Here is a 14,290-nt window from a genome sequence, read left to right on the forward strand (position 1 = left end):
GCATATACATGTCCATATGTTTATTATAAATTTTGCTGATACGAAAGATATGTGGCACACAGTCTATAAGTAACAATGAAATATACAGTATTCTTTATGGCAAATTCCATATAGTGAATTGGTTCCCATGGAATTCTTTTTTTTTTTTTTTTTGAGACGGAGTCTTGCTCTGTTGCCCAGGCTGGAGTGCAGTGGCGCGATCTCGGCTCACTGCAAGCTCCGCCTCCCGGGTTCACGCCATTCTCCTGCCTCAGCCTCCCGAATAGCTGGTACTACAGGCGCCCGCCACCGCACCCGGCTAATTTTTTTTGTATTTTTAGTAGAGACGGGGTTTCACCGTGTTAGCCAGGATGGTCTCGATCTCCTGACCTCGTGATCCGCCCGCCTCGGCCTCCCAAAGTGCTGGGATTACAGGCTTGAGCCACCGCGCCCGGCTCCCATGGAATTCTTTTGTTCATCTTGGCCAAACTCTTGTATCTGTAGCCAGCAGTTCAACCATGATCAGACAATCATTCATTCAGTTGCATCTCAGTTTGCCCTTTTCCCAACAAACTTACTATTATTATATCTTTTATGTGATATAAGTTATTTTTATTAAATAAGCCTCTTTCAGCTTCAATACTATGTCAGTACCCATACCATGGCATATTTGTCACTGTACATAAAGTTGGGCAGAGATGTGCAGTGATCACACCAGCATGTAGTATTTCCACCATACGGGTATGGTAGAATGTAACCTCAAGAGCATGGATAGAAACATGACTAGGAAATGATGAGTTTTAAATGTTTATAACTTTTGTTTTTGATATAATTTATCTAATTGTAAGTTACACAATTTAATTTGTAATAATGGGCTTCCAAAATGTCTGAAACTGTAACGTCTGGCTCTTGCAAGCTGGTATGAACCCGCTTTAGGGCACCACTGCCATAACTGATGCTTCCTTGTGTCAGGCCCAGGGAAGACCTTGAACTTCAGAATACTTCCTGAGATCTTCATAAAGGGGGTAATCATTTAATTGAACAAGACAAATGGAAGTAAACTTAGGATTTGCTATTATTTTTTGCCAGTTATTTCAAAACCTGTGAAGCCTTTCATTGCAAAAATAAACTATACATACATCACCTTAGAGATAACAGTCATTGACAATCAACTAGTATAATCACAATATAAATGGATTTGACATTCTTTTGGTCAGGCAACTAAACCAAAACGCAAGGTCAGGTACAAGTAATTGACTTATTAAGCAATGACCTCATCTTTTCAGAGTAGAATTCTTATATACATCAGAATATCAAGTTTTTCAGCCATATTCATTTTTGAGTATAATCATGGTGTCAGCAAATGTCATTCAACTGAAAAGACAACAATGTGCTCTGATCAGTATGTAGAAACAGAGTTCATGCAAGAAAACAAGAAAATTTAAACAAATCATCAGGGAAGACAGGGGTGGCAGTGAAGGAGAGCCCAATCATCATTTACTGAGTTGGGGAAACAAGGTAAGCTCAAATACAAACAAAAATTAGATCTGTAATTATCAACATTGTTTTAAGAAAAACGTGTGATTCACTAGCTCCAAATAGACTTCTCTTATATTTTTAAACCCCAAGTCAAATTATTCTGTATAGTAAGGTAGGCCTTTATATTGGGAAGTAACTATGTTACAGTGAAAATTTAGAATTAGCTATATCTAGTTAGATACCTTATATTAACATGATACACAAAATTGTACAACGAGTGGGAAAGATCATTTATCTTAAAATGTAAATGTTTTTAAAAATTTTGAATATTTAAGAAGGGATTGATGTTGATATTAAAAAGCTACACATAGCACTGCTGACTTCCAGGACACACAATAGACATTATCTGGTGTGTGGCTGACATTGACATTGCCTGGAATTCAGGGTAAGCCGTAACACATACATTTATACACACACACACACACACACACACACACACACACACACACGGATGCTACCACCCCCCGCCGCCCCCACCCCCGGTTTCTTTTTCATAGTCTGCAGAAGTGTTTGAAAATACAATTGAAAACAACAACAAAAAACAAACTCAACTGTTTTTCTCTCAGCTCAATATCTTTTTTTTTTTTTCTTATTTTTTGAGACAGAATCTCCCTCTGTCGCCCAGGCTGGAGTGCAGTGGTGCAATCTCGGCTCACTGCAACCTCCGCCTCCCAGCTTCAAGCGATTCTCCTACCTCAGCGTCCCGAGTAGCTGGGACTACAGGCACGCCTGACCACACCCAGCTAAGTTTCGTATTTTTAGTAGAGACAGGGTTTCACCATGTTGGCCAGGATGGTCTTGATCTCTTGACCTCATGATCCGCCTGCCTCGGCCTCCCAAAGTGCTGGGATTACACGCATGAGCCACCGCGCCCGGCCTATTTCCCTATTTCTTCTACTTCATCTCACATGACTTTTCCCCTTATTCCGGACCCATTAGCCACATGGTTTCTTTCTGTGCTTTGCAATGCTATTTCCTTTCTGCCCTTGGCTGGTGTACTTGCGGCTCGCTCCCTCTTGCCTGCTGCCCTAAACTGCCCAATCTTCCTATAACCAGCTCTTTTCTTTTGTTCACATTTGACTTCAAATATAACTTCCTCAGAGAGTCTTCCTTGATTACTATATTTAGAGCAGGCCAGAAATAACTCTATCCCATTGCTCTTATTTATTTATTTGTTTACTTAATTTTTATTTTTTAAAAGGATTGGGGGTGGGGGTCTCACTTTGTTGGCCAGCCTGGCCTTGAACTTCTGATTTCAAGCAATCCTCCAGCCTCAGACTCCCAAGTAGCAGGGACTACAGGTACCTGTCACCACAACTGGCTTTCTTTTATTTTTTAAAAATAGCACTTTTCACTGTTTGCAGTTATCTCATTGATTTCACATCTGCGTCCTTGTTTACCTCTGTCCTCCTCATTAGAATATAATCAGAAGGAGAGCAGGAACCTGGTCTGTTTTGTTTGCTGCTGTAACTCCTCTGCCCAGAAATTTGTAGCATAGAGCAAACACACAAAAAATATTTACTGAATGAAAAGGTGATCATTCCCGAGTATCCTCAAGGAGGATCTTATCAATCCCAGCAAATGTACTTCAAATACGTTATTTCAATTATGGATGTTATTGAGCTGAGTACTGAGATTTCATTATATTGACCACTGTCTATTTCTACTCAGAGGCTGTTCTTTATAGGGAGTTAGTCAAAATCTATGTGCAGAGTGAATACATATAACTTGCAGTAAATATTTAGGTGTTTTAGGGTTCCAATATTGGCAAGGTATCTGACAAGTAAGTTTATTGGCTACTTGGAGACAAAATTACGCCCTAAATGGACTTCAAGAAATATTAGTTAACTAACTTTATATTCAAATACCTCAATAATCTGCAGTTCTCTTGTCTCAACTGTCATCACCCTGGGCCAAATTATGACAGCAATGTTCACAGGAAACTGTATGATAAGGCACAATAGAGAAAGAGGAACTAAAAAAGAACTTCAGCCTTTAATATCCTTTTTCTAAGTTATTCCCATGCTGCAGGTGGAGAGACTTTTTCAAAAGATCATGTGACAGCCTTCCAACTCTTATTTTATTCATTTATTTTTTAGATGAAGTTTCACTATGTTTCTTAGGCTGGTCTCAAACTGCTGTGCTCAAGTGATCCTCCTGCCTCAGACTTCCAAGTAGCTGAGATTATCGGCATGTACCAGAGTGCCCAGTGAAATTCTTAAGACAAAAAGCCTTAACATGACTGCAAAACCCTCTATGATGTCACTTATAGGTGAATAAAAATGGCCACAAATTCTTCCACACTCCTCCCACAGACAGGTGGAGGCTATGTCTCCTCTCCTTGAATCTGGGTAAGCTCTGTGGCTGCTTTGACCATTAGAATACAGAGGAAATGATGCTGTCTGCCCAGATCTCATGAAACAGGCAGCTTCCCCTCTGGTGTCATGGACCACTCCCTCCGGGAAGCCTGAGACAGCAGGTTACAAGTCCTGAGACGGTCCTGATGGAAAGGCCACATGCAGACACTCATAAACATCAGCTGAGCCTAAGTGTCAAGTTTAGGCAGAGGGAAGAAGCTGTAAGGTCTTTTTTTTTTTTTTTTTTTTTTTGAGACAGAGTTTCACTTTGTTGCCCAGGCTGGAGTGCAGTGGCACGGCCTTGGCTCACTGCAACCTCCGCCTCCTGGGTTCAAGCAATTCTCATGCCTCAGCCTCCCACGTAGCTGGGATTACAGGCGCCTGCCACCATGCCTGGATGATTTTTTTTTTTGTATTTTAGCAGAGATGGGGTTTCACCATGTTGCTCAGGCTGGTCTCGAACTCCTGAGCTCAGGCAATCCGCTCATCTTGGCCTCCCAAAGTGCTAGGATTACAGGAGTTAGCCACTGCTCCCGGCCAGCTGTAAGGTCTTGAGAAGACTGCTGGTGAAGGCTGGGAGGACTGAAAATTGTCACTGGAGCCTGGAGAAAAGGTAACTCTATTAATGTAGTGGCAGAGAATTTGCTAACATTATCACTTGTAGTAATGTGGAAAATAGAAAATATACCCAAGGAACCCACGGATTTTAGTAAGAAAACTTCTAGGCAGAATGCTTAAAGTGCCATTTAAAAATTTAAAAAAAAAATTTTTTTTAAAGCTACACACAGTAAAAGGTGCAGGTAGAGAAAGATGAGTCAAAAAAGAACTGTTCAGTTTTCAAACAAAATTTGGAGACAATAAAGAGCTAGAATGTGTTGAGTAAAAACAAAACAAAACAAAACAAAAATTGTTTTAACACTCCTAGGGGGTGGCTGTAAAATACCTTTTAATGACTGTAGAAATATTTAAGGATGTACCTCATAGAGTTTCCAAAATAGACAAAAAGGCTTTTAAGAATCCTAAGGGTATTGTCCCACAGCACCCAACTCTGAGCCCAGACCAAAAAAGGGACTATCTTGAAGAGAATTGTAGGTATGTGTTTCATTTAACAGAAAGAAACCCAGTAAGATTCAAAGGATGCCCACAAAGATTATGAGAGAAGTGTATTAGTGGACACATAATCAGCTTGGACAAAGCAGGCAGAGGTAAAGTGCAAAGAGTCCTTAGAGCCCCCAGACTTTTATGGGTGAGACATAAGCTGAGAAGATTATTCAGCTGAAAGTGCTATTTCTTATGGAAAGGGGACAACTCAGAAGGTGCAACAAGAGTCTGGAGGGTGGATCCAAGAGCCGCAGAGAATCATTCCAGAGAGCAGGACTCGGCCCTCCAGCCAAGGAACTGGCAGCATGTGGATTTCAGACTTGCTATGGTAATGCCTGGCGTATAGCTGTTTATCCACTCTTTGAGTGGGAATATCCCAAGCACTTATCCCATCCCTGTATTATCAGTATACGTTGGACATATATGAGGCAAATACCTTTTTCATATTGAGAGGTCTTCATATTGAGAGAAATTGTATAAGACAACAGCATCAAATGGGCCCCATCAGCAACTGAACCTTATTTAGATGGTAAGAACCTGAATCTCGGCTGGGTGCCGTGGCTCACGCCTGTAATCCCAGCACTTTGGGAGGCCAAGATGGGTGGATATTCTGAGGTCAGGAGTTCGAGATCAGCCTGACCAACATGGTGAAACCCCGTCTCTACTAAAAATACAAAATTAGCCGGGTGTGGTGGTGCATGCCTGTAATCCCAGCTACTTGGGAGGCTGAGGAAGGAGAAATGCTTGAATCTGGGAGGTGGAGGTTGTAGTGAGCCGAGATCATGCCATTGTACTTCAGCCTGGGCAAGGAGAGCAAGACTCCCCCTAAAAAAAAAAAGAACCTGAATCTCAAACTTGAGCTTGAGATAAGGTTTTTGAAGTCTTTAGAAGGGGTGAGTATATTTTGCCTTACAGAAGATGTGAATAATTTGTGTCCAGAGGCTGAAGCATGGATGACTAACGATGACCACAGATTATTTGAAACTCTTCCTATTGAGAAGTGGCATCTTCGTTATTCCCTTTGGTCTGAGTGGGCTTGTGGACTGCTTTGGCCGTCACCAAGAATATGAAGGAAAAGATGCTCTGCCAGTATCTGGGCTCAGACCTTAAGACCTTAAGATTTCCTATCTCTTGTATAGGAACTGTCTCTGGAAGCCCTGAACTGACATGTAAGGAGTCTTGAAGCCGCAAGGCTGGAGGTGCCAATTACAGGTGCTCTAGTCAACAGTTACCATATTGCTACTGATCAGGAGCCCACACTCCCAGCCATTGAAATGAAGGTGCCAGGCATGTGAATAATGCTGTCTTGGACTCTCAAGACCAGCCCAACTGTGATGGTTAGTTTGTGTGTCAACTTGACTGGGCCATGAGGTGCCCAGAGATTTGAACAAACATTATTTCGAGTGTGTGTGAAGGTGTTTCTGGATGAGATTAACATTTGGATCAGTTCATTGAGTACAGCAGACTTCCCTTCCTAAGGTGGGTGGGTCTTGTCCAATGAGTTGAAGTCCTGAATAGAACAAAAAGACAAAGTAAGAGAGAATTCTCTGTCTCTGCTGGGACATCAGTCTTCTCTTCCCTTTGGACTTCGACTTGAACTGGAACTTACACAATTGTTCTCCATGTTCTCAGGTCTTTGGACCCAGATTGGAACTATACCATTGGCTCTCCTGGGTTTCAAGCTTGCTTGCTGACTGCAGATCTTGGGACTTCTCAGCCTCCATAATTATGGGTCAGTATACACACACACACACACACACACACACACACACACCCACACACACACACACACACGGATATACTACTTCTCTGGAGAACTCTGACTAATACACCAACTTCTAGCTGAATGTGGAACAGAAGAATTGCCCAGCTGAACCCTGCCTAAATTCCTGATTCAAAATCATAAGGTATAATATAATGATTGTTTTTCAGCTGCTCCACATTGGGGTAATAAGGTATGTAGCAACAGATGACAGACATAGTCAGCTGTGCATACATTTTCTGACTACACATGTGCCCTGTCCCTTAGCTCTTGGTACTCCAGCCACATCACCCTTTCAGTTCTACTAATATTGAATGCAGAATTAGCACGTGCCATCCCTCACCCTTCTTGATCCTTTGACTCTTAGCTAATGAGGATTTTCTCAGGGAAGTTCTCCCTGAGCCTCTAGATTAGTCCCTTTGTTACAATAGATCCTCCCACAAGAACTGTCTCTTTCTTTCAGCGCAGTTATCTCTGTGATTATTTGATTGACGCTAGTCTCTACCCCTAGATGGTAAACTCCATGAGAACAAAGGGTAAGACTGCTTTTGATCACCAGTGAATTCCCCGAGTTCAGCACCATGTCTGGACATAGTAAGTGCAGAATAAATATTTGTTAAGAAGGTGAATGAAATATTTGAAGCAGCTGATAAAGACTCCCTTCTCACCATAGCTTTTAATAACCATGTCAATATTCTTTTCTTTGCACCTTGTGAAAATCTGGGTTCTCAGCCATTGTAACTGGGAAAGACTGTGACTTAATATGAGGCCACTGGTCCTACTATGCTATTGTCTGTGACGGCAGCTAAGCACAACTGAAGTTGCTGGAGTTCCTTTTTGTAACCGCTGGGGAAGAGGAAGCACAAGAGAGCCTCTGGGTGTGTGGGCGCAGGAATGCATAGAGAAAAAAGTAATTAGTGCCTGTTCACATTTATGTCTTTAGTTGGAAATTAGGGAGCTCTCCTAAAAGTCTAAAGAAAATCGTGGATGCTCAAACTGTTTAAAATGTTTCTAAATTTAAGTTTAGAAACAATTTGTTACTAGATCAGGAGCTCTTCCCCCTCCCCCCAACCCCTTCCTCTAAAAATGGAAGAAATAATTGCTGCTTCCTTAGTGCTGTTAGGAAAATTCTGTACCTTCCATAACCATTGCTCTCAGTATTATTTTCTTAATACCTAATCTGAATTCCTACTGTTTTAAAATGCATTCCCCTACTTAGCTCTACGGATATGGAAAATACATGCTCCGCTGGGAATAGTCTTTCTTAAAATATATCTGCTCTGCTTAAAGATTAGTTTATCATTTTTGCCACATATAAAATAAGCTCAGGTCTCTACAAGTGCCCTTGTAATTTCCATTTCATAAATTTAAAAAATATTTTGTTTTACCTCGTTATATTTCTAATAGTGACCTCCAAATGGGTCTGTGTACGATATTTCATTAAATGGGTTTAGTAGGCTTCCAAAGGGAGAAAAGAGGATTTCCATTTCTGCATAATATTCTTGCTCTTTTAAGAAGAAAACACCTCTACAGTGGCAGGGCTAATATGTCGACAGGCATATTCCGTATCATTTATGTAAGTTAACACATTCTGAGGCTCTGCCCATTTCCACTTCTCTGATTTGTCCTCCCTCCCTGAGTGCACAATACTGCATTTGTCCCTTTTGAACATGTAACAGATTAAAGAGCTGGGCAGGAGGCAGATGTAGGGGCACCTTTGATCTCTCATCCTTGGAGGTTAAGGGAGGGCAGACACCTGGCGGCTGCCGAGCTGGAAACAAAACACAGGCCCAGACTGGAATTACCTTAAAGGGAGCCCGGCTCCAACCGCAGAGGCAGCTGGAAGCGCTGAATGGGCACCGGGGGAAGAGAGCCCCGCGGTCAGGCAGAGGACGCAACAGAGTCCTAACAATGTGATCCAGGCTACCCGAGAGCTGGTTAGAATAATCCTTCCTACGCAGAAAGACCCAGGAAACCTTCCAGGAAAGACTAGGCAGCCGCATTGAGAAAAAACGAAAAGTAAATCTTTTGCAAATAATATCACAAAACTTCCAGCTGTGCACAAATACTGAAGGGCAATTTTGATGACAATGCAGGAAGCTTTCAAAGAAAGGATTTTTAAACATATTTTTTCCTTGGCGGAACTCTTTTTAGTAAGGATTTCCACCTTTGCCCCAGGATCCTGCCAATGTTCTTAGTCAAAGCCAGACCCGAGTTTCCTAGGATTCTTCGGTGAAACTGCATTGCCCCCTGGCGTTTGTGTGCTGTCATTACGCCGCACAGATAAAGCCCATGGAACACCTACCAATCCGAGGAAGGATGCAGCTCCTGGTTTCATCTACATGGAGAAACCTCTCTTAAAACACAGGATCAGAGAATGCAGTTCTAAATGGCAAATCTAGACTTGGTTTGACAAGACATGGAATGAAACTTTGAAATTAAAACTCCTTCCTTTTCCATCCTTAGCAGAATCTCCTGAGATGTTCAAGTAGCTCTGGAAAGAAACTGATCAGATTCTAATCTGTCAATTTAAAAAGTTTTTTTTTAAACAATTTTTAAATTTGTTTTAGAGATAGGGTCTTGCTGTGTCATTCAAGCTGCAGTGCAGTGGTGCAATCATAGCTCACTGCAATCTTGAACTCCTAGGCTCAAGGGAGCCTCCTGCCTCAGCCTCCGTAGTAGCTGCAACTACAGGCGCCCACCACTACACCCTGCTAATTTTCTTATTTTTAAATTTTTTTGTTTTGTTTTAGAGATGAGGTCTCACTGTGTTGTCCAGGCTGGTACTCCTGACCTCAAGTGATCCTCCTGCTTTGGCTTCCCAAAGCTCTGGGATTACAGGCCTGAGCCACTGTGCCCGGTTGCTAATTTGTCAATTTTTTTTTTTTTGGGAGTCAGGGTCTCACTCTGTTGCCCAGGCTGGAGTGCAGTGGTGCATCTCAGCTCACTGCAACCTCCACCTCCCAGACTCAAGCGATTCTCTTGCCTCAGCCTTCTGAGTAGCTGAGATTACAGACATGCGCCACCACCACCCAGCTTATTTTTGTACTTTTAGTAGAGGCGGGGTTTTACCATGTTGGCCAGGCTGGTCTCAAACTCCTGACCTCGAACGATCCACCTGCCTCGGCCTCACAGTCAACAAATATTGACTGTGCTGCTTACCATCCATGTGAACTTGGAAAACCCTCTTAACCTTTCTTTGTCTCCTCCACTTACAAAATGAGGCTGATAATAGTAGCATATACCATCTAGTACCTAGTAAACACCCTTTAAGTGTTTGTGAATGATGAGAACTATGTGAGTTTTCCACTCCGGTGGACTAGGGAAGATTAAAAAACATTCTGTGATGTTGAAAGGGCTTGGACTTGGTTCCTGGCCAAGTCTATTAAAACCCCAAAACACAAAGAAATGCTCCAGGTACTGCGGTTTCTACCTGGCCTCAGTGCAAACCTAGAATTAAGTACATCTCTGACACTTCCAGGTCGGTGTGACTGGACCTCTGAGAATATGCTGGGGCCTGAGAGGGTCCATTCTTGTCCACACCAGGGCAGAGTTCCACCCCCAAGGCTAGGCCAGAGCCGGAATGACTCCAGGAGTAAGGCCAAGGGTGGTCTTCCTTGGCCCAGGTTCCTCTAGAATATGCCACTGTGGCATAAAAATGATTTTGAGCTGAAGGCATTTGATAAGAGGCTTATTTCTAAACTCCTTATCTGCCCCAAAGCAGAACCTCCTCCCAAAACTCAATTGTCATAAATCCCTTCCCACAGATTTTTCTGCAACCAGAGAAAGTTGACTCTAATACCAAAGAGAAGCCCACAGCACACCTAAACAGGCATTGTCACAAAACTATCATCTCCCATCTATTCTCCTAAAGGCCCATGATCTTTCTTAAAAGTAATTTATTTTTCCTTAAGTGCCCTTCTCCTCCTCCCCTTCTCTTGTTCAGATGGCACATAAGCCCCAAATTGTAAGTGCCCCCTTGAGGCATATTTTCCTGAGAACTCCCATACATAATGAACAGAAGCCTGTCTTTTCTTTTGCAGCCCCCAAAACACTGAACTTAAGAGGGTAAAGGAACAGTTTTTCCTTCCTTCGTTTCTTCTTTCCTTCCTTCCATGTTTTCTAGAGACAGGGTCTCACACTGTCATCCAGGCTGGAGTGCAGTGGTGTGATCATAGCTCACTGCAGCCTCAAAGTCCTGAGCTCAAGTGATCCTCCCCCCTCAGCCTCCAAGTAGCTAGGACTACAGGCACATGCCACCACACCCAGCTAATTTTTTTAATTTGCAAATTTTTGTAGAGATGGGGGTCTCACTGTGTTGCCCAGGCTGGGGAAAAGTTTTTCATCTTCCGTACCTTCTTCTGTGCCTTTGGCAAAATACTGGACTCCACTGTGCAAAAAAAAATCTCTGCTCAGGCCTTCAAAACAAGCTTCACATCTTGTGCCAAGCTATCCTCAGTCGAAGCAGTGGTGGCAAATAGACGCACCATAAATGAGAAATAGAATGCTTGGCCCAGTGCACTGGCTCACGCATGGAATCCCAGCACTTTGGGAGGCCGAGGCAGGCAGATCACCTAAGGCCAGGAGTTCGAGGCCATCCTGGGCAACATGGTGAAACCCCGTCTCTACTAAAAATACAAAAATTAGCTGGGTGAGGTGGCAGGTGCTACTTGGGAGGTTGAGGTAGGAGATCGTTTGAACCTGGGAGGCGGAGCTTGCAATGAGCCGAGATCGCGCCACTGCACTCCGGCCTGGGCGACCGAGTAAGACTCTGTCTCAAAATAAATAAATAAATAAATTAAAAAGCAATAGAATGATCTACATAATATTTGACATGTTAATATTCGTACAGCATCTTTGAACAAAGGCTGACAAATACAAGTGATAAGTGTTTGTTAAATGAAAATAAATGTTGTACAATTTCAGTCTTTAAGAAAGACAACGCAGACTGGTATTAGGGTTCCAGACCTTCCAGATGTTTTTCTTATTTTGCACTGCATCTTTAAAATCTTGCGTATTATTGATAAGGAGTGCTGGGAAGGGAAGAGCGTGATGCCTTTAAATGATACGGAAGAGGGGAAGGGAAGTGCTGGGTAGAGGAGGGCGTGGTCCCTGGCTAGGGCTCTACCCCCACGGACCTAGGCGAGGACAGGCACTCCTGCCTTCCTGCCCAAATGTTGCATTTTCCAAGACCACCTTGGCCCACCACACCCCCAACCTGGGCCTATAAAAATTCGAGACCCTAGTAAGGAAAGAGACACAAGCGGCTGGACGTGTTGGGAAACACATCGGCAGAAGAAGACACGAGTGGTTATGTGTCTGGTCATTAGAGAGCATGTCTGCGGAAGAGCACATCGATAGACTCCCGCACATGGATCGATGCCATCGACCCGCGACCTGCGGAATGAGGGAGAGTTGGTCCGGGGCAGTCAGAGGAGAGCCGGGCAGCGGGTGGCCCAACTCTAGGGGAAGGCCATCTTCCTTCTGGCTTCCTCAATGGCTGAGAACTACTTCTACTCAGTAAAACTTTCCACTCATTATCCAAGCCCCCATGTGATCCAGTTCTTCCGGTGCACCAAGGCAAGAACCCGGATACAGAAAGTCCTCTGTCCTTGTGATGAGGAAGCGGATCTAAGTGAACTAACACAAGCTGCCTATAGGGCTAAACTAAAAGAACACCCTGCGACACACGACCACTGGGGCTTCAGCTGTAAACATTCACCCCTAGACACTGCCGTGGGGTGGGAGCCCTACAGCCTGCCTGTTTGTATGCTCCCCTAGAGGTATGCGTAGTGAGGCACTGAAGAAGTGAGCCACATAGGGTGTGCGATGGGAACAAGGGAACCTTTCCCATTTCATTATAACGATAGGAAAAGAGTATATTGTTTTACAACAAAACAAAACAAAACAAACCCCTAAAAATTGTATTGCTGGAGTAAGACGATCGAAGTGAGATCGTTTTAACTACCGTCTTTTGAAGTGTAAGTGTGTGCAAAGCATATTCAGACTTAATACAAAATGGAACAGTGGATGACTAGAGAGATAAATGGTGCCAATAGCTACTAACAATCATGCAAAATTATACATCCTGTGGGAGACTGGAAACATATATTCATTTTCAAGAGAAGAGGTTAGAAAATGGAGACCTCTGATGCGATTTCAAAAGACGTGCAATCACCAATGAACACTTTTTGACTTCCTGGGAATTTCTCTGCATTACAAGCAAATCTGGCAACTGATAACTTCCTGGACAGCTGTCTCTCCCATTTATTCCCCCAATTCTTTTTTGGTAATTGTCAGCTAAATCTTTACATGAGTGTAATCTCTACCCTGCAGAAAGAAATTCATCTTAGAAGTTTTCATTTTCATTTGGCAAAGGATTTGGAAGAATGGTGATTATTCTCTAAGCCTAAAGTGAAAATTCAAGGGTTTGTTTTCTACAGATGCAATCAAGCATAATATTGTGGTATCTTTATGAGAAATTTCTAATTAATGTCTAGTTCAGTGTGCTTAAATGTAAGTCACAATTCTGATTATACCTGCTTGTATTAACCATATCCTGAAATTAATGTTTGCTGTCATTTAAGCAAAACCTGCTTTCTTTGGTTGGCAAATCATCTAACATTAACTGTCCCATAACTAAGCACACTGAGATCAAGGTCAATCTGTTAGTTTTATTTTAGTTTACCTTATTAAGAATATCAGAAAAGTTTAGCTTGCTTGGCCCTTGATTGAAACTGCTTAATAATCTCCCACTGCTCTTCGCAAAACTGTCAAAATCCTTAATGTGGCTTACAACGTTCTGGGCTACCTGAGCCAGTATTACTTCTAGTTTTGTCTTGGATCACTCCCATCCCTTCTTTCTTTTTCCCACCTTCCCTCCCCTCCCCTCCATCTCTGTGTTCCAGTCACTCTAGCCTTCTTTTAATTACTCAAAATTTTATATTCATTCCTGCTTCTGGCCTTTGCTCTTTGCTGCTTTTTTTTTTTTTTTCCACCTGGAATTCAAGTCAGACTTCCTTGAGGAAGAAGCAGTTTATTTTCTTTGATCACACAGCTCATGGTTGCCTAGGATCATAACACCCCTATCTCTCTCTCTCTTTACAGTACTTGTAGCAACTGTAAACATTTTATGTATAAACACTACAAGAAAAAAAGCTCTCAGATTATTTGCTTTTGAAGTCAGAGCAGAGGCTGGGTCAGTGTTATTGCTGTATCCTCAGGAGCAGCCTGGTGCCTGGCACACGTTAGGTGCTCCATAAATGCTTGTTAAATAAGGGAAGGGATTCGTAGTTCCACCTGACTCTTAAATTGGCAATGCATGTTTTCCTGCTTCATGGCTGCACTTGAGCAGAAATGTCAACCATGCCACAAGAGGTTGATTATTTAAGACTAAGATGGAGCCAGTTGTTTTCATAAAGGTTGAAAACAGATTTTGCATTTGTATTCCTTAAGTACTTTTGAAACAGATATATTCTCCCACACATACTCATTCACAAATAATGGGAGTATGATCTTTAAGAGAACCTAAGCAAATATAGTCTTGATGAAG

At 42.6% G+C, this 14,290-nt stretch overlaps 1 protein-coding gene across 33 annotated transcripts in view, besides 1 other annotated feature; it reads right to left on the bottom strand.

Annotated features, from left to right (window-relative positions):
• DLGAP1 (DLG associated protein 1) overlaps window positions 1-14,290 on the bottom strand; it is a 959,276-nt gene that overhangs the window by 161,436 nt on the left and 783,550 nt on the right. The window lies entirely within an intron of this gene.
• Window positions 8,302-8,596: a silencer, noted in NCBI's record as "tiled region #6172; K562 Repressive DNase unmatched - State 5:Enh". NCBI's record gives its function as "represses a minimal TATA promoter and a strong SV40 promoter by Sharpr-MPRA in K562 cells {active_cell/tissue: K562}" and the evidence as "EXISTENCE:reporter gene assay evidence [ECO:0000049][PMID:27701403]".

This window comes from Homo sapiens, chromosome 18, assembly GCF_000001405.40.
Source record: "Homo sapiens chromosome 18, GRCh38.p14 Primary Assembly".
Lineage (NCBI taxonomy): Eukaryota > Metazoa > Chordata > Mammalia > Primates > Hominidae > Homo > Homo sapiens.